This window comes from Homo sapiens, chromosome X, assembly GCF_000001405.40.
Source record: "Homo sapiens chromosome X, GRCh38.p14 Primary Assembly".
NCBI lineage: Eukaryota > Metazoa > Chordata > Mammalia > Primates > Hominidae > Homo > Homo sapiens.
Window position 1 is genome coordinate 136,155,552 of NC_000023.11, and position 19,648 is coordinate 136,175,199.

Here is a 19,648-nt window from a genome sequence, read left to right on the forward strand (position 1 = left end):
GAGAATTGTACTCTTGCCTAGGGGTGTATTTTTAAGTAGTTTTTGCTCCTGTTCCTTATTATTGCCTGCTAATGGATACGTATATTGTCAGTAAGTGACCAACTCTCCTAGCTTCCTGTAGTACACTGTATTTCTCTTCTGAAAATGGATTTTCCTCTGTATTTAAACCACAGATTTACTTGTGCCTCATTTTTGAACTACTATAGATAAAAACTCACAGATAGGAAATACCTGTGGACTGTTTGAAATGCAGTGAAACCTAGAAAAAAAAAAACAATCAAAATAATAAGTATCTCCTGTCGGCATTTTACTGCTTGTAGAATTGATATTCTATTTGCCCACATAAAATCTCTCTGGATGTTATTCCTATTGCAAGACATAGTAGCTTTTCTTCCTGTTCCTTATTATTGCCTGCTAATGGATATGTACATTGTCAGTAAGTGACCGGCTCTCCACAGCTTCCTATAGTACACTATTTCTCTTCTGAAAATGGATTCCTCTGTATTTAAACTACTGAGATTTATTTGTGCCTCATTTTTGAACTACTATAGATAAAAAAGGCACAGATAGGAAATACCTGTGGACTGTTTTTGAAATGCATTGAAACCTAGAAAAAGAAAATAACAATCAAAATAATAAATATCTCTTGTAAGCATTTTACTGTTTCTTTTTACCCACATAAAAACTGTCTGGATGTTATTCCTGTTGCAAGACATTAAATGTTCTATAGCCTTTTTTTTTTTTTTTTGAGACGGAGTTTCGCTCTTGTTGCCCAGGCTGGAGTGCAATGGTACAATCATGGCTCACTACAACCTCTGCCTCCGGGTTCAAGCGATTCTCCTGCCTCAGCCTCCCAAGTAGCTGGGACTACAGGCACCCACCACCATGCCCAGCTAATTTTTGTATTTTTGGTAGTGACGGGGTTTCACTGTGTTGGTCAGGCTGATCTCGAACTCCTGACATCAGGTGATCCGCCCTCCTCGGCCTCCCAAATTGCTGGGATTGCAGGCGTGAGCTGTTCTGTAGACTTTCTAATAACAAGAATTTGTAACAGTCACAAGGTTTTAAATTTCCTTTTCAGTACTAAGGAAATGATAGCTGGGAATGCAAAGGCTTTATTGGCAAGATTGTTTTGACAAGGATGGCACAAAACTAAATTTCTATACTTGATTAATTTATAAGTCTTGTCACTCACTTTTAGTTTTAGAGTGTGGATAAAGCTGTTTGATTCTTGTCAGATTTGAAATGTATGATTTATGAGACATTAAGGATTGGTTTTTCAGTGCACTCTGCCAGGTCTAGTTTTATGCGTCATTCTGGTTTGGGAAGCTGAGTGCAAGTCTGCCTACAGACATAATCAATCACCTGCACTTTCGGGTGGCCAGGTGGACTGAAGTAACAGGTTTCCCCCCAGGTTTCTCAGAGACTAAGGAATACACACACACACACACACACACACACACACATAGGCAGACCTGCAAATTATCGGTCCAAAAATATTTATATCACTAAGCCAGAGCAGTGGATTTAGACATTTGACTTAACAAAATTTGTTTTTCAACACGTTCTAGCAACTACCCTGTAAATGATCGTCATTTCACCTACAACAATGAAAAGATAAAGTCCTCAGCCGCATAGCTTCTAGAGGCTAAAGAGGCACGTTAAGTTGCTTGTCAAAGACTCCACACCTTCAGATGCCAGGGTCAACACAAGTTTTCAAACCCTAGACCCAATCCCTTCTAGGCCACAGAAGGTCTGCCTCTTGTAAGGAAGGAATTTTCCAATGCACTAAGCACAGCTAATCACACTAAGGAAAGAAACCAAGCAGCCAAACTAATATGAGGAAGTGAAAGTTTATACTTGCATCTTATAGCAGATGGCCTTTGTTAGAGCCACTTTTAAAATATCAACTTCACCGAGCATGATTTAGGTACAAAAACCGGCATCCAATTAAAGCCTCCAATTTGATGAGTTTAGACAGATGTATATACCCATGAAACCACTGCCCCAATCAGGATGTGGAATGTTTTTATCACCTCCACAAGTTTATCCTTGCCCCTTTTCCAGTAACATTCTTCCCCCAGCCCCTTTCCCCCAGATATCCCGTTATGCTTTTGTGTGAGAGCCACTTTCAAAACTCAGATTTGAAAGTTTGTGGATCTTCCTCTATAAAAAGACTATATTTATGTCCAAAATGCAATTGTCTTCTCTATGTTTAAAATAATACTACAGAGAAATTCTAGGTATTGATTTCCTAGAATCTTTCCCTCATCCTCTGCAAGTAAGCTACTTAGTAAATAGTTTCATTATGTACTTGAATTGAAGAGAAATTACAGCCAAGAGAAAAACAATTCTGATAGACAGAAAAGCAGTGTATGTTCTTCTCAAGTAGTTACAGTGAGGTGTTAAATCCCTCAAGAACCAGAGAAGTAAAATTTGAATTTTGCTTCGTACTTATTTGTAAAGTAAAAATGAAGACTGAGAATAAAGGTTTTATATGTATCTATCTGTCTAATCATTCATCCATCCACCCATCCCTCCAGCTAGTGTGTGTATATATGTTTCTGTATAAAATTACTATGTATTAATAACCCTATCCCTTGAGGATTACAAAAGATTTGAAGGCTTCAGAGGGAATTTTCTGTGCATGAAAGGTGTACTGTCTTTACACACTTAGGTGCAAAGCAAGCTTTTCATATGCTGTTATTACTCTCATTGATATATTTAATTGAACTAATAATTATTGAGCAATTTAAAGGCTGCTGCATTGAGATGGAGTTTGTCCCTTCGTTTGTCACCTTCTAGAAAAATCCAAGTGTCAAAAAATATCTCGCTGGCTCTCTGTTCTGTTGCTATTACTTCGGCATGCGTCGTCTCCTCTTGCCACTCTCGATTTCTACTGTTTCTGCCCTATCTTCCTTCCCTGATTTTCCTCCTCCATGTCTTTCCCGTATCCTGATGCCACTTCTCTTGCACTGCTCTGATTTCTCATGAGAAAGCCATTTTTATAAACATCTCCAGACCGAGAGGGCAGCAGACTAATTCCAATGTGTCAGATAGCATCTTGGAGGCTGTTTCTCCTGTGATCCAACACTTTTTTCACACTCCTTTCCAGTTTCGAGCTGTACTGGAAATTGGAGAGTTGTGAAAGGATGGTTTTTGGATAATCAAAGTTGAATATACTTGCTGGGCTGTGTTATGACCGTCTTTGAAGCCACGAATCATTAAAAATAAGTGAATAGTTTACATTATAATATTCCTAGGAAACTTCCTTTGATAATTGTAAAGCAATTAAAATTGTCCTGAGATAAGGTGATTTATTGTTTTTCAGAATGGGCCATAAAGATATTAAAGAACCCATTCAACATTTGTCAAAACCCATAAAATGCACAACGCAATGAATGAACCCTAATGTAAACCCTAGACTTTAGTTCATTATAATGTATTAACGTTGGCCCATCAATTGGGACAAATGTACCACATCAATACAAGATATTAATAATAGGGGAAACTGGGAGATGGATGCTAAGGAGGTATACAGAAACTCAGTACTTCCTGCTTAGTTTTTCTGTAAACCTAAAACTGCTAAAAAAAAAAAAAGTCTACTAATTAAAAAAAAAAACTCTTCAAATGTATGGGTTTCAGAAATACAAAGACTAGATCAGGAGCTTTTTATTATTACCGTGTGGATTAAAGTCTACTGTTTGTGGCCAGGTACAGTGGCTCATGCCTGTAATCCCAGCAATCTGGGAGGCTGAGGTGGGTGGATCACTTAAGGCCAGGAGTTTGAGACCAGCCTGGCCAACATGATGAAACCCTGTCTCTACTGAAAATACAAAAATTAGCCGGGTGTGGTGGCATGTGCCTGTATTCCCAGCTATTCGGGTGGTTGAGGTGGGAGAATCACTTAAACGCGGGAGGCAGAGGTTGCGGTGAACCGAGATCACGCCACTGTACTCCAACCTGGGAGACAGAGTGAGACCCTGTCTTAAATAAATACATAAATAAATAAATAAATTCCAGTGTTTGTTTTTCAGAATGAGTGAAATAAGAGATGTGTTTCTCCTTGAGTGATGTAACTTGTGGCACGAGCCCCTGAAAAGGGGAAGTATGAGGTTCCAGGAGAGCTGCCCAGTACCTCCAATGCTATGTCTAGTTGCACAATAGTCAGTAGATAGGTCAGTGGGAGCAGTGGGTTGGGACTTCGCTTGCCACCCTTGAAACATCATGCCATCTTTGCAGTGGAGTCCCAGATTTGGCAAATTCCCTGCCCTACAACCCAGTGGGCCCTCTTTTGACCCTTGCATTTGTGGTATCATTAGCAACAGTGACAGTTGGTGAACTTATGCCAACTCTGAGCCAATATCCAGGTCAGAGTTTGATTGCTTTGGGCCAAAGGCTATTATTGCATGGCTTGTAGAAGCATAGGCCCAATGCCAGAACTTCCATGCACTTACTCAGTATGGCCAGCTCTACAGTAAACGTGTGTGAAAAGATTCGGTTTTTATAGGCATTAATGTAAATAGTTTCTTTATATTGGACCTGGGTAACTATGATGGGCAATTACAAGTACCCATTGCTTTCCTGAGTTGGCTATGAGAACAGAACATTCTGTGGTACGTGGTAGTGGGGGTGAGGGGAGGATCAGGTCTAAGAGGGACATTGCAGCTGCAAAGGGAAAGAAAAAAACTGAGAAGCCATCAAGGATTAGAAGGCAAATGGGAGCCATCACTCAAGCACTGTGTATCTTGAAGTGGTTGTCTGTCAGGTCTGTGATAAGACCTGGGGTGAAAAACCTCATAGTTCATGTGATTATCTGAAAAATACCAATAAAGGGAAGAGTTGATTATAGAGTTCGCCTGTTTAGTTTTTTTGTTTGTTTGTTTGTTTTTTTTGAAACTGTGTCTTGCTCTGTCACACAGGCTGGAAAACAGTGACGATCGTGGCTCACTGCAGTCTTGACCTCCTGGGCGCAAACAATCCCTCTGCTTCAGCCTCCTGAGTAGCTGGGACTGCAGGTGTGCATCACCACACCCATCTAATGTTTTAGTTTCGTAGAGGCAGGGTCTCGCTATATTGTCCAGGCTGGTCTCAAACTCATGGCTTGTTTAGCTTATTAAACTTTATTTTGTATATTGGAAATAATTCTTTGTGTACAGATCTGTTAGGTGTCCTCATTGTTACATCTATTGTTAGACAGAATTTTATTTTTCTTAATTTCATTGGTTGCCTGAATTGACTATATATGTGGTACCACCTGTTAAAAGCAGATTTTGATGAGGAAGGGGAGAAAGAGGATAAAAATAACCTCTCCCTCAAGTCCCATTTCATGATGGAAGCTAGGATTCCAGTTCAGTGGCCAGGCTAAATGGTCACTTGATGCCAGTAGTGAGCTACTGCCACTGGATTTCTTTCAGTCAGCTTCACAATCGACACCAAATCCTGCAGCTGACGTGACTTTACTGCAATTCATGTTGATTGGAAAAATGGCAAAAGTCACCATCTAACCCAATCATAATATGTTTGTTTCCCAGATATAGACAGGCTGGGTTCGTCATTAGGCCTAGTGTAGTCATGCTCCCTAACTACTGTGAGTATCTGGAAGGATTGGGGAGGTATAGTGGCAGCGGCTTGTGGGACAGGCATGTGACAGCATCCTTTTGCCCCCTTGCTGCTCACCCACCTGCTTCTTGCCACCTATTGGCTCCTCTTTGTCTTCCCCTCATTCTGTCTTCTCTTTATCCTTAATCCAGTTACTTTTGAATTTTCTGTTAAGGAACCAGGAGAGCCTCAGCATGAAAATAATTGGCTTAAGTATTCAAAGTACCAGAGCAACATACTTTATAATTCTTGGACTGCCTGATTGTTACTGCTGCAGTGGTTTGTTGGGTATTAAATGAGACTTAGGGTATTTTGTAAACGTTTTCTGACATACAATTTGAAAGTTGAATTTTGTCACCTTACAAACTTAGTTATTCCTGCAACTTTTAAAACCCCCCTAAATTTTCCTTATGTGTTCATGATTATCCCCATAGCAGATAATGGCCACATGCGTGCTGATATGAAGGATTTGCTCCAGGGCTAATTGATGGGAGCAGAGCTGCCCAGTTGCTGAATTGTAAGGAAACAGTTCATGGAGCGCCAATGCCAATTTAGGAAAAGTATGGGGCTGAGTACTTAGTAAGATGAAATAAAAAAATATTTATCCAGTGCTTACTCTAAGGAGAAGGCACTTGGCTAGGTTTGCTAGATGCTGTGGGGAGCCTTAAAACAACAGTGATCTCTTCAAGGCCGGGCGTGGTGGCTCATGCCTGTAATCCCAGCACTTTGGGAGGCCGAGGCAGGCGGATCACTTGAGGTCAGGAGTTTGAGACCAGCATGGACAATATGGTGAAACCCCGTTTCTACTAAAAATACAAACATTAGCTGGGTGTGGTGGCATCTGCCTGTGGTCCCAGCTACTCAGGAGGCTGAGGCAGGAGGATCACTTGAACCTGGGATATGGAGGTGGCAGTGAGATGAGATTGTGCCACTCCACTCCAGCCTGGGCGACAGAGAGAGACCCTGTCTCAAAAAAAAAAAAAAAAAAAAAGTACTAGCGATCTCTTCAAGCAAAGAACGCCCATTCTAATTGGAGAAGCTGTTAAAGACACATGAAGGATGTGGTGGAAAGAGTATTGAACTGCATAGGGTGTGGGGAGAGAGTCAGGAGTTTTGAATCCTAGCCTGAGTTCTGCCACTAAGCATTGGAAACTCTGGGCAAATCATCTCCCCACTCTGGGTCTCAGTTTATAAAAAGGCAAATGAACGAGATCATCTCTAAGATATTCTGTAGATTGATTCATAAATGTGGAAGAGATTCTGGAAAACGGAAGCTTGAGCCCAGGAGTTCCAGACCAGCCTGGGCAACATGGTGAGACTCTGTCTCTACAAAAAATACAAAACATTAGCCTGGTGAGGTGATGTGTGTTTGTAGTCCCTGTTTCTCAGGAGGCTGAGGTGGGAGGATCACATGGGCCCAGGAGGCTGCAGTGAGCTATCACCTGGGAGCTTGTTAGAAATGCAACTTTCATGGGCCCCACTCCAGACCTAGGGAATCAGAAACGCTGGGGATGGGGCCCCGCCATCTGTGTCCTAACAAGGTCCTCTCTCAGGAGATTTTGAGGCACAATAAAGTCTGACAATTACAGGCTATAGGAATTTGGGTCAGTGGTTCTCAGCCTCTGCCATACAATAGATTCATCTGGGGGAACTTTGTTGGGGGTGGGGCGCTGACTTTGTTTGTGCTGCTGTAACAGAATATCTGAGACTGGATACCTTATAAAGAACAGAAATCTATTTCTCACGGTTCTGGAGACTGGGAAGTCCCAAGATCAAGGTGCAAACAGGTTCGATTGTTAAGGGCTGCTCTCTGCTTCCAAGATGACACTTTAGTTCTCCAGCCTCCAGAGGGGAGGAACGCCCTGCCCTCATGTGGCGGAAGGCAGAAGGGCAAGAGAGCCAAAGGCTCTGTTGAAGCTTTAATCCCATCCACCAGGGAGGAGCTCTCCCGGTTTAATCACCCCACCTCTTAGAGGCCCCACCTCTCAATACCATCACATTGTCCATTAAGATTCAACACCTGAATCTTGGACACATGAAAACCGTAGCAGGCACCCAGGCATCACTAGTTGCTTTGGCTCTCCAGGTGCCGCCAATTTTGAGAATCACTGGTTTAGGGGAAAGTGGCATGAACCAAGACTTCTGTCATTCTCTAGCTGCAATGAACGTCAGATGCAGGGAGTCAGCCAAAGCCAGAGGCTTGAATTTCACTCAAAGAAACTTGGCCTTTAGATTACAATGGAGAAAGGTTTTTGGCAATGGGAGTGATACATCCGAGGTGGAACATTTGAGAGATGATTCTGATGCTAGCTATGTGAAGAAGAGGGCATACCCATAGTTAAGAAATCTGATGAAATAGTCTGGTGTGAAGTGATAATGGGCCAAATTAGGACCTTAGAAATGAAATTATAAGGAAGAAAATGTATGAAAGCTCTTTTGCAGGAAAAATGGGCAGGGTTTGGCGATGGTTGCTGGGGTGACAGCAATGTTAGAATGTCTTTGGTTCAGGAGTACCTCTCAGACTTCTGGGAGGGCCAGTGCTCTCTAGATGCATCTGGCAAAATTGTCATGTATGGATCTGTACAATTCTTTGTTTTTTGTTGCTTTGATTTAGGAGTTATAATGCGGAGGTGACCCACAGCAAGTTATAGAAAAATACAGAATTACAGTCACCTCAAAAGCTACTCATGGTCATCATGTCAGAGGGAAAAAATGCTGTTTTTCTTTTAAGGAAAGAATGCTTGGAGTTGTGGGAAAGTTGTAGACTTGGCAATGAGTAATTCAAGCCTATCAGTCAATTAAGTGAGTTTTTATTTTATCATTTGTTTTATTTGGGAGCTGCTGTAATAGTCATTGAGAGGACATCAGTCTTCATATTTTTAAAACAAAACAAAAATACCATTGAACATTAGGGCAAAGGACAAGAATTTCAAGGTTTTTACCTTTTGACTTCAGCAAATATTTGCTGCTCCATTTTTCTTGCTAGATTTTGCCATTTGACTTGTGTTTTTCCTTTGTTCCAATTTGTTCTTTGTGCTTGATAACTGTAGTGTACTCTATTTTTTTTTTTTTGAGACACAGTCTTGCTCTTTTGCCCAGGTTGGAGTACAGTGGTGCAATCTCGGCTCACTGCAACCTCTGCCTCCTGGATTCAAGTGATTCTCGTGTCTCGGCCTCCCAAGTAGCTGGAATTACAGGCACGCACCACCATGTCTGGCTCATTTTTGTATTTTCAGTAGAGATGGGGCTTCACCATGTTGGCCAGGCTGGTCTCGACCTCCCAAAGTGCTGGGATTACAGGCGTGCATCACTGCTCCTTGCCTCTATTCTATTTTCGATGGCTTTTTTATTCATAAGTATTCTTAAGGTTTTAATATTCCAGTTAAAAAATAAATATATTTGTCCCTTTATGTTTTTCCCCAATATACTTATTCTTCCTTTATGACCAAAAATTATTCAAATTTGCATCCAGAAATGGCTCACAGAAAGAGCTCCTTGGTATTTATTTAGGGCATGGTGGGACCTTTTGTTAGTTTCTAGGTCATGCCACATCTGGAAGGAAAGACACCTTTTATTTACTAATTTGAAAATCTATGAAAGCAGACTCAGTATTTTACAGGGTTGCATATATTCCTATGCAAAGTTGCATATATTCCTATGCAAAGTTAAAAATGACTCACTACTCCAACTTTGGTAAATGTGTGCACTTTAGTTTTTGAAAGAAGTGCAAAAATCTGCAGAAAAATCTGGACTAATCATAACTTGAAATTTTTAGTATATCTGGTAGATAACTTTTAAAAATATAACCCATCTTTTCCCAAACTGGATAGGGATAATTCCTCTCTTTGCAAATTGTGAGGAATATTATGATTGTATCATATAAAATAAATATAGAAACGTGTAGAATAAATGATCTTCCAGAGTATATAGAGGATATCACCAGATAATACTCTGTACTAAATATAAGGACACAAAACTGGACTTTATTATATTTCTATAACTGGTAATATCCTTCCAGTTTTTGCTTGTTTATTAAATGAATATACTGTTAAAGATTTGGTTATGTTGTAGATCTTAATTATGTTGGAATTATTAAAAATGAGGCATCTTTAATCTGTACTGCTTATTTCCAATAAATTATTTTGCCGAATGAGAGCCAGTTTACCAGTTCTTTTGTTAAAGAAAATGAGCCAGTGGCTACCTCAGTTGTATTTATCATTGCCTTTTATGGTAAACATTTAAAATGTGTTTTTAATGGTGCACATGCCGATGTTTCTGACCTCTATAGTAGCATAAGTATTTGAATAAAAGTGAGGTAAATGAGAAGTCTGTGCCACCCAGTCTCATCACAAGTGTACCTAATTAAGAAGATGTTTGGAATTCACTGTTCTTTGATTTCTTGGGTGGGAGAGAATATTCTGAAGGCTGTGATTAAGGAATCGTTACCATGACAATCACATTCAAAGAATTGAGAGGAGACAATGAGTCTGTGGGGGATCATCTCTTTTGATTGATTTGACTCTTCTTTTAAGTTCTTTCAAACAGCTGTTGTCACTGGATTTTCTTTTCCACGTAATTCACACAATTGATTGGTGATGTGGGGATCATTGAAGCTTGGTTGTCAGTAGTGATAAGGGTCAGCAGTGTCCATGACCACAATACTTTTGCTAAACCTGGAGAGTGATTGTATGTGTTAAATGTCACTAAAAAGTAACTCTTGGCTTCTTTCTGGAATAATATATGTGGTTTGTCTATTTTCACTTATTAATTTTGTCAGGGTGGGATATGATTATCATGATCTCTTTGAAAGCATGACTAACTCTAAAGTGTTTGAGCTTTATTTTGGATTACTTTGCTGTCATCTTACCCAGTGTTTTGTGTGCTGTTTTGTTTTTATTCTTTAACTTGCACAATGTTGTCAACGTAATTTATATGATGTTCTGGTCAGAGACACAGTTACACGCTGCAGATTGAAAAGTACACACAAATATACCCACCATGAGTGCTTCAGCCTCACGACCCCAGCTCATGTTAAGTGGGACATGCTAGTACAGATGATAAAGTGAAATGGAGATACAAAGGCAGTTCAGATCTGACTGTCAATTTTTCTCCTTTGTGGACTAATTCTGGGTGGTGAAACCATGAACTATGGAACGAAGACTGCTCCAGCATGAGTCTGAGTTGAATCCCATGTGAGAGCTTTGCCTCCTCAGCCTTTGGGCCTTTCTTTCTTCTGCCCTCTGGAGGGTGTCAGAGAACATGAAATGCAAGGACTTTCTGGAAAGGATAGCCAGGGTTTGGTCTGGTAACTAGAAGACACTTTCCCTGCCCCTTCCCCACCACCCCCTCCAAGCCGGAACATGTAGAGGTGAGGAGCAGACAGAGAGATGGCAGGGAAGCCATTGGCAAGGTGGGAATCTTAGGAAGGAAGTGATTCCGGTTCTTGAAAAAGACAACCGGATTCCATTAAGTAGAATCGGTATGAATTGTACTCATCTCTAGGAAAAATCAATTCCAGAAGGGTGAGTAAGATGAAATATGATAAGACTAGTGTGTGACAGATTCAGGTTTGAAGCTTAAGGTGGATGGAATCGAAAGAAAGGTATATTTGGTGTCAAGTGTTTGTGGCGGCATGTGAAATCATTATCCACGTTTGATAACAGTTTGACTCTTTGCCTGCTATAATAATAGTAGTAAGTATGTATTTAACATTCAATGCGTACCTTGTGTGGGGGAGGCACTGCTAAATGCTTTGCATGGACGTACCTCCTTACCTCTATGAGGTAGGTGGCCATTATGATGCTCATAGAGGCTGGACAGCTAATATGAGGCGGAGCCTGTATTTGGGCTCAGGCAGTCTGACTCTGGTGCCCCTGCTGTGAAGAGCTGTGCCCTGCTGCATTCCTCCTGTAGCTGCACGAAAGGGTGTGGAATCTTCTAGAAACAGTGAGTTCTATATGAGTGGAGTGTGGTGGTGGGAGAATAGATGGAGTAAAGCCTTTTGTGTAAACATACCATGCTAAGTACTGGGAGATAGAAACGAAATGAGAGATTTTTTTGTTTTGTTTTTTGAGATGGAGTCTTGCTCTGTCGCTCAGGCTGGAGTGCAGTGGTGCGATCTCAGATCACCGCAACCTCCACCTTCCAGGTTCAAGCAATTCTCCTGCCTCAGCCTCCTGAGTACCTGGGACTACAGACACACGCCACCACGCCGGCTAATTTTTGTATTTTTTTGGTAGAGACGGGGTTTCATCATGTTGGCCAGGATGGTCTTGATCTCATGACCTCGTGATCCACCCACCGCAGCCTCCCAAAGTGCTGGGATTACAGGTGCCAGCCACCACACCCAGCCAAAATAAGACATTTCTTTGCCCCTGCCACCAAGATATTTAACATCTTACAGGACTAACAAAACCTAACATGAACCAGTCCAGATTCATATGATAGAATATGAAAATGTTTTCTGGAAAGAATAGCCAGAGTCCCAGTCTGGTTACTAGAAGACACTTTCCCTGTCCTTTCCCCACCTGTAGCCCTTCCAAGCTGGAATGTGCAGAGGTGAGGAACAGACAGAGAGATGGCAGGGAAGCTATTGGCAAGGTGGGAATCTTAGGAAGGAAGTGATTCCGGTTCTTGAAAAAGAGAACCGGATTCCGTCAAGTAGAATCGGTATGAATTGTACCCATCTCTAGGAAACATCAATTCCAGAAGGGTGAATTAGATGAAATATGATAAGACTAGTGTGTGACAGATTCAGGTTTGACGCTTCAGTTGGATTGAATCGAAAGAGAGGTATATTTGGTATCAGGCGTTTGTGGTGGCATGTGAAATCATTATCCACGTTTGATAACAGTTTGACTTTTTGCCTGCTGTAATAATAGTAGTAAGTATGTATTTAACATTCAATGGGTACCTTGTGTGGGGGAGGCCCTGCTAAATGCTTTACATGGACGTACGTCCTTACCTCTATGAGGTAGGTGGCCATTATGATGCTCATAGAGGCTGGACAGCTAATATGAGGCGGAGCCGGTATTTGAGCTCAGGCAGTCTGACTCTGGTGCCCCTGCTGTGAAGAGCTGTGCCCTGCTGCATTCCTCCTGTAGCTGCACGAAAGGGTGTGGAATCTTCTAGAAGCAGTGAGTTCTATATGAGTGGAGTGTGGTGGTGGGAGATGAGATGGAGTAAAGCCTTTGGTGTAAACATACCATGCTAAATACTAGGAGATAGAAATGAAATAAGAAATATTTCTTCCTGACACCAAGATACTTAACATTTTACCGGACAAAGAAAACCTAACATGAAACAATCCAGATTCATATGATAGAATATGAAGATACTGTCTCTACTTAAGTACAGGTGGGAGGAAGACTGGAAGATGTTCCTTTGAATTAAGTCACTTTAAAACATTTGCTTTCAAATGTTAGCGCTTCACCATGGGCACAAAATTTGTCTTCCTCCAGGCTTTTGGCCTGGCAAACAAGAACCCTGTCCCTATAGTCAGCAGATTCATCCATTTTGAGTTGGGAAGCATTATCTTCAGCCTTTTCTTCCTGACAACGATCCTGACAATCGTCGTCAGGATCTCTAAAGAGATGAACTCATTAGCCTAGTGAACCAACAGTCTCAGCTGTTTATTTACCAGCACATTAACAGTTTTTCCATTTATATCCACTGCCTGTGTGACGATCAGCCTGGAAATGGTTTGAGCATAGGGTGGGAGGGGTGGTTACACACCTGGTTGTAATCCTTGGTTTATTTTTGCCCTGTTTCCATCTATACTTCTTGAGAGCTTCCTGTGTTACAGGCACTGACCTGGGTGTTGGGGCAGAGTAGTGAAAAAACAGACTGGGTCCCCCGCCCAAGGCACTGTCTTTTCCTCAGATTTCATTCGCTCATGTACATTTTCATAGTTGATCTAAAAGCGGCATTTGGTGTGAATTCTAGGATTTCACACTTTTAGGATAATACAGTGATCACACTCCCTTTCTCCTTTGCCCCAGCCAGTCCTTTCTGAATAAAGGTCGAGGGATTGGGGGAGGAAGGCAGTGATGCGAATGGGCCTGTGGGGAGGTCGCACGGGCTTGAGGAGGGCAGCATGTCGTAGCGGGCCATATTTGTGTCAGGGTTGGGAACGGCACAAGGCACACCTGTTTCCTAGTGCTGCAGAACCCTCGTCCTGGGATGAGCCTGCCCGCTAGTCTGCATCCTAATCCTGCTGTTGATTGGAGATAACTTCAGCGGTCACAGGGCACCTCGTCTCCATGGCAACCCCTCTAAATATTCCTCTAGTGACTTGTGCTCTACATTCTGGCTGGATCAGAGCCCTCCTGTGGCAAAATATTCTAAAGATGTTAAAAGAGAGAGAGAGAAAAAAAAAGGCTCAACTAATAAATCTATTCTAAACGACTGAGTCATTTGTTTTGATTACCCGGGTGATTGCCAAATGTTAATTTAAAACTGAAATAGGCCATGAGCTCACTCCCCTAACAATGCTGAGTGTTTGAGCTAATACGGCTTGATAATGAGGGAGCCAGATCCACTGCCAGTGCTCATGTTATATGATAAACAGACATTTGGAGAAGTATGCAGAACATCTTGGCAGTTTTCCTTTAACTCTAAGGGTTGTAAATACAAAGTAGAATGTGTTACCATGAGCCATTTCATAGGAAGTTGACTTTATTTTTTTAGAATTCAGAACTTTGCTTCTAAAAAGGTAACTTTGCCTCTTGATTCTCATTTTTTTCCCTAACTTAGGCACCTTGGAAGTTGTTTTCAACCATATCCAGCCTTTGCCGAATACATCCTATCTGCCACACATCCAGCGTGAGGTAAGTTTTACTAATTGCCACAAATTCTTACACTGATCTCCAACCTTCTAAGTTGTGGTATTAGGGGCGGCATTGTACAAAGGGCTTTATTTGTACCAGGAGGTTTCAGAAGGTTCATTTTAATTGACTCAACCAATGTCACTGCTTACCCTAAATATTAGCTCTCGGGGGCAATGTCTTTTCAAGGGAAAATCTCATTTGCTTTCAACTTGGGCATATGAAAAGGGAATTTGCCAGGCACAACAGAACTATTTGAATGTCTGCTTTAAAGTAAAGATCTGCTCATGTCGTTGCACGAACAGTAGGGAGCAGGAAAGCTGCATGGAGCAAATGCTGGGATGGGACAGAGGAGACTCCTGCTGCCAGCCACGAGAAGGTTAGGCTGACCTGATCAGCTATTAGGAATCTTTCTCCCTGGGTGGAAGGAGCCAAGGTGCAGGACTGGCATTGCAAAATCTGGTGATAGAAGGCCAAAGAGTGCTTCTGCTCGGTGACATTAATAGGGTCCAGGAGATTTTCTTCTGATTTGCCCTCAAGTTCAGAACAACCTGTGGGAAGCCAGTGTAAGAATGCTTATACTGGATAAGCGTTCTCTGTCCTCTTCATTTAGCCACAGTGGCTTGTTTATACTCTGTGATGACTCAGGGTTCCTCAATTTTCTCTTTGAGAGAGGGACATTGACCTTTGAAAATAATGAAGGAATCTAAGAGAAGGCTCATCCAGGCACGATACAGTAATGGTCCCTCCTTTTTGGTGCCCCGGTCTCTGTGCGCTCACAAGAGGGAATGTAACCTTTGCCAGCACCATACCTGTCAGGCTTTGCCATTTCATCCCTCAAAAGGTTGCTGCGTTTTTGCCTTCACCTTCACCCTGCCCACCCCTGCATGCAGCCACATGGTCAGTGTAGGTACTTAGATTTCAGTTAGGGTACATGCTCAGCAGGTGACAAGAATTGCCTTTGTTATGTCTACTTGCTACAGAATTCTCCCCAGGTTTTAAAATATATATCTTCAAATACCTAAATGTATTAAACCTTAAAGAGTAAAAAGCATAGGACAAACTTTTAGAAATGCTAAACCTGAATTTTATCCATTTCATCAATTATGGTGGTAGTCGGAAGTCCTTCCAAGGCCCTCGGGCTTGAAGCAAGCTCGGTGATACAAGCTTTCAGCAGCTTCCCTCTGCTGCTGGAGATGGAATCTTCATTTCTGGGTCTAAATCCTGCCATAGCTCTCATTCATAGCCTTTACCTATAATGGTTGTTTTCAAACTTAAAAAAAATGATAGAAACCTATCTTCAAAAAATACAAATCTTTAGATCTAACCCCAATAGAGAAAACCAAAGCTGAACTGCTTTGGCTCAAGTAGGAGGCTGTGACTCTCTGTCACCCTCCTCTAAGGGTGAACCCTATTGAAAGAGCAGAGATTTTAGCTCTGTGCCCTTTCCCAGCTCTTATTTTTATTTTCCCACAGAAGAGGCTAGATTCTTTAAGGAGATATAAAGAAGGGAGAGAGAAAGATATAAAGATTCTTTAAGGAGATACAAAGACATCCTCTCATCAGCTGGAAATGCCAGCTAGGTGAGACCTGACTATGCATATGCATTGTTTGCCCTTAGTAATTCCATAGCAATCTGCAAATTCAATCAGCTTCATCAGCAGAAAACTTTGATAGAAACCATGTGTAAAAGGGCTGTGTTCTTAAAGTGGAACATTTAAATCGAAGTTTTTCAAGCACACATTTCAAGTGGTTTTATGATACCAAGCACACCCCAGTGACATCTTTACATTGACCAAAACTTGGTATCCTTGGGTTTTCTTTTAAAGCACTGAGTTTCTCAGGTGTGTCAGTTGAATAGAATCTGCTAAATTCTGTTTTTTTTATTTTTTTAAATTTTTTATTGATTTATTTTTTTTTATGGAGTCTTGCTTTGTCGCTCAGGCTGGAGTGCAGTGGTGCAAGTGCAGTGGTGCGATCTGGCTCAGTGCAACCTCCGTCTCCCAGGTTCAAGCAATTCTCCTGCCTCAGCCTCCCAAATACCTGGGATTACAAGCGTCTCTACATCAACATGCCTGGCTAATTTTTGTAATTTTAGTAGAGACAGGGTTTCATCATGTTGGCTAGGCTGGTCTCAAACTCCTGGCCTCAAGCGATCCGCCCTCCTTGGCCTCCCAAAGTGCTGGGATTACAGGCGTGAGCCACTGCGCCCGGCCAAATCTGTTAAATTCTGTTTCCATGTAACAGAAATATATAGGATTACACAACTGCATCTGGTGTTCTTTCTTCCTTTCTTTTATTCATTCATTCAGCCCTACTATGGGCCAGGGCAGGAATGTAGTGGTGAGCACAAAAACAACAAAAAAATACCTTTTGGGTTTGATATTCTTCAAGGGTGGGACATGCCTAGATTATTTTCTCTTTTGCAGACAAGGAAACTGAAAATTGCTTTGCTTTTCTCAATTACATTGCCCAGTATTCAGTAGACAGGTATGGATGCAGGGGTACAGTTCCAAGTCCCCATCTCTACTCTATTCTTTGAGCCTATGATTTATGCCACTTCCATATAAGCATGTGCAAATAAAGTATTCAGTAATTGCCATGGATGCAGCTGTCCCTGGGACCCGAAGGCCCTAAAATGAAAATAAATGTAAACTGTGCGTTTCACACTCTATTTTTAAAACGTTTGTTTGGAATAATTGAATAGTTTAGTAAAATGGGCTTTGCTGTTTCCACATGAGGATATCTTGTTCTTTTATTTTTTATTTTTTTTGAGACGGAGTCTCACTCTGTCGCCCAGGCTGGAGTGCAGTGGTGCAATCTCGGCTCACTGCAATCTGTACCTCCCAGGTTCAAGCGATTCTCCTGCCTCAGCCTCCCAAGTAGCTGGGATTACAGATGCGTGCCACCATGCCTAGCTAATTTTTGTATTTTTAGTGGAGACGGGGTTTCACCATGTTGGCCAGGCTGGTCTCGAACTCCTTACCTCAAGTGATCCGCCTGCTTTGGCCTCCCAAAGTGCTGGGATTACAGGCGTGAGCCACCATGCCCGGCCTATTTTGTTCTTTTAAGTGATGGTGTGTCCCCTTTTAATACAGTATTTATCATAGATAAACTTTATTATTCAGAAACTTAGAATTATTCCATTTGGCTGCCTTTTAGTTTACAGAATTATTTGGAACACAAGCTTGAACACATAATTCTTAACACATACGTGAACTGGGCTAAATTTGAGTATTTGTACCATAGTAGTGACAATATTGTTAATTAAACATGTGTTTCACATGTAGGAGATATTTGTATCACTGACATATGGTCATTTTCATTATTGATTTGGCAGTTTTTTAATATTCACAAAACACAAAATTTTGAAATACAGTAGTCAAAGTGATTTGATCTGTGCCATTTGTATTGATGTAACCTCTCTTCTTGGTGCACTAGCAATAAGAAGGAGAATCAGCACAGATGGGTTACACAGACTTAGAGGATTTGGAAACCATCACTTTAGAGCCAAGGTCTCAAACTGATGGGCTGGATCTGGCACACAGAGGTGTTCTTTTAAAATTTTAATTGCCAGCATTTAAAAATTGAAAGGTTTCATATTTTTTGAAGTCCAAATTTTTCAGCTTCTCTTGAAATATCAGAAGATCTGGCAATATTGAGCCCTCACTCCTGTTTGGCTACACTAGGCTGGAGCCAAATGGCTGCTGTTTCTTTTCTTTTTTTTTTTTTTTTTCCTGAGATGGAGTCTCGCTCTGTCACCCAGGCTGGAGTGCAGTGGCGTGATCTCCGCTCATTATAAGCTCTGCCTCCCAGGTTCACGCCATTCTCCTGCCTCAGCCTCCCCAGTAGCTGGGACTATAGGTGCCCGCACCACGCCCGGCTAATTTTTTGTATTTTTTAGTAGAGACGGGGTTTCACCATGTTAGCCAGAATAGTCTGGATCTCCTGACCTTGTGATCCGCCCACTTCGGCCTCCCAAAGTGCTAGGATTACAGGCGTGAGCCCCCGCACCTAGCCAGCTGCTGTTTCTTTAGCTAGAGCATGAACTCTGAAGTTTGCCACAGTCTCTGGCAGTATCTGTAATCTCCTTGACACTAAGGACAAGGGTTGGTTGCCATTATCTGAATGTTTAACCCCTATAGACATGTGAGTTTTCAATCCCAGGTCTAGATAAAATTGAGGTTGCAAACTTAAGGTCATCCTTTTTCTCAAGATATCAGCTTGCTAATTTTCAGGGGCACGACATAGGGTGACAGTCATATTAAGGAGGTGCTTTAAAAGGGTTGAGGGCAAACATTTCAGAGGAAGGTTACTTTCTGATGATGGTACCTGATTAAGAAAAGGATACATCGACAGGTACGGGTGATTTATTTTATTCTGGCAGATTCCTGTAGTCTACTTTGGTGCTTCTCACACTTTAATGTGCAGATTCTGATGCAGCAGGTCTAGAGTAGGGCCTGAGATCCTGCATTTCCAACAAGCGCCAGGTTATACCACTGCTGATCTGAGGACCTCCCTCTCTTTGAGTAGCAAGGGGACTCTAAAAGCAATCCTAAGAAAAATCAGTCAGGCAGTGATGGTGCTAATGTTTAGAACATTCACTTTTCTCTAGCCTGAGAAAGAAAAAGAGATACGAACCAGGGTATTTTGGGTTGAATCTTCCCAGATAAATCTGGATCTACTTTGAGTTGGAGCAGAGGAGATGAAAAATCAATTATTTTCAATACAGTATAGCACATGGGAAAGATAAATCTAACTCTGATTTTAAAATTTGTTTTAAATTAAGTGCTTCTGGTAAAAAAAAAGCTAGATATGCTCAGGAATCATGAAATGTAGGGATTAGAGCTTTTAATTTTAGGAAAATATGGGGCTGTTAGCAAACTTGTAAATCAGACCACAGAAAATAGGATAATTATCAAATCCCTGGTTATATGATAACCTTGTAAGCTATAAAATGATTTTAAAAAGTTGGAAAGAAAGAAATCAACAGTTTCAAATATATACAGTCCTATATTGAAAAGTATAATTAAAATGAAAAAGCACACCAGGAAAAATCTGTGGCACAGATGACAAGATACATAATTTCTATATCATGCACAGACCTCATACAGATTGTAAGAAAGGTGCGCACAGGCCTAGCACGTGGTAGGTGCTTCCTAACTGTTGGCTGAATGAATTATCCAATTGATAGATGGGTAAAAGACACTCAAGTTATATCA

At 41.4% G+C, this 19,648-nt stretch overlaps 1 protein-coding gene across 16 annotated transcripts in view; it reads left to right on the plus strand.

The window, feature by feature from the left end:
- The window catches only part of FHL1 (four and a half LIM domains 1), a 64,658-nt gene that overhangs the window by 8,850 nt on the left and 36,160 nt on the right, over positions 1 to 19,648 (plus strand). For 13 of the 16 annotated variants that reach the window (NR_027621.2, XM_047441926.1, NM_001159702.3 and 10 more), the window contains exon 2: positions 14,356 to 14,429. The gene's annotated coding sequence lies outside the window, so the exon portion shown is untranslated. Of the gene's footprint in view, positions 1 to 13,744; positions 14,430 to 19,648 lie in introns of those variants that run through there. The other 3 variants (NM_001369328.1, NM_001167819.1, NM_001159704.1) reach the window with 3 other exon arrangements.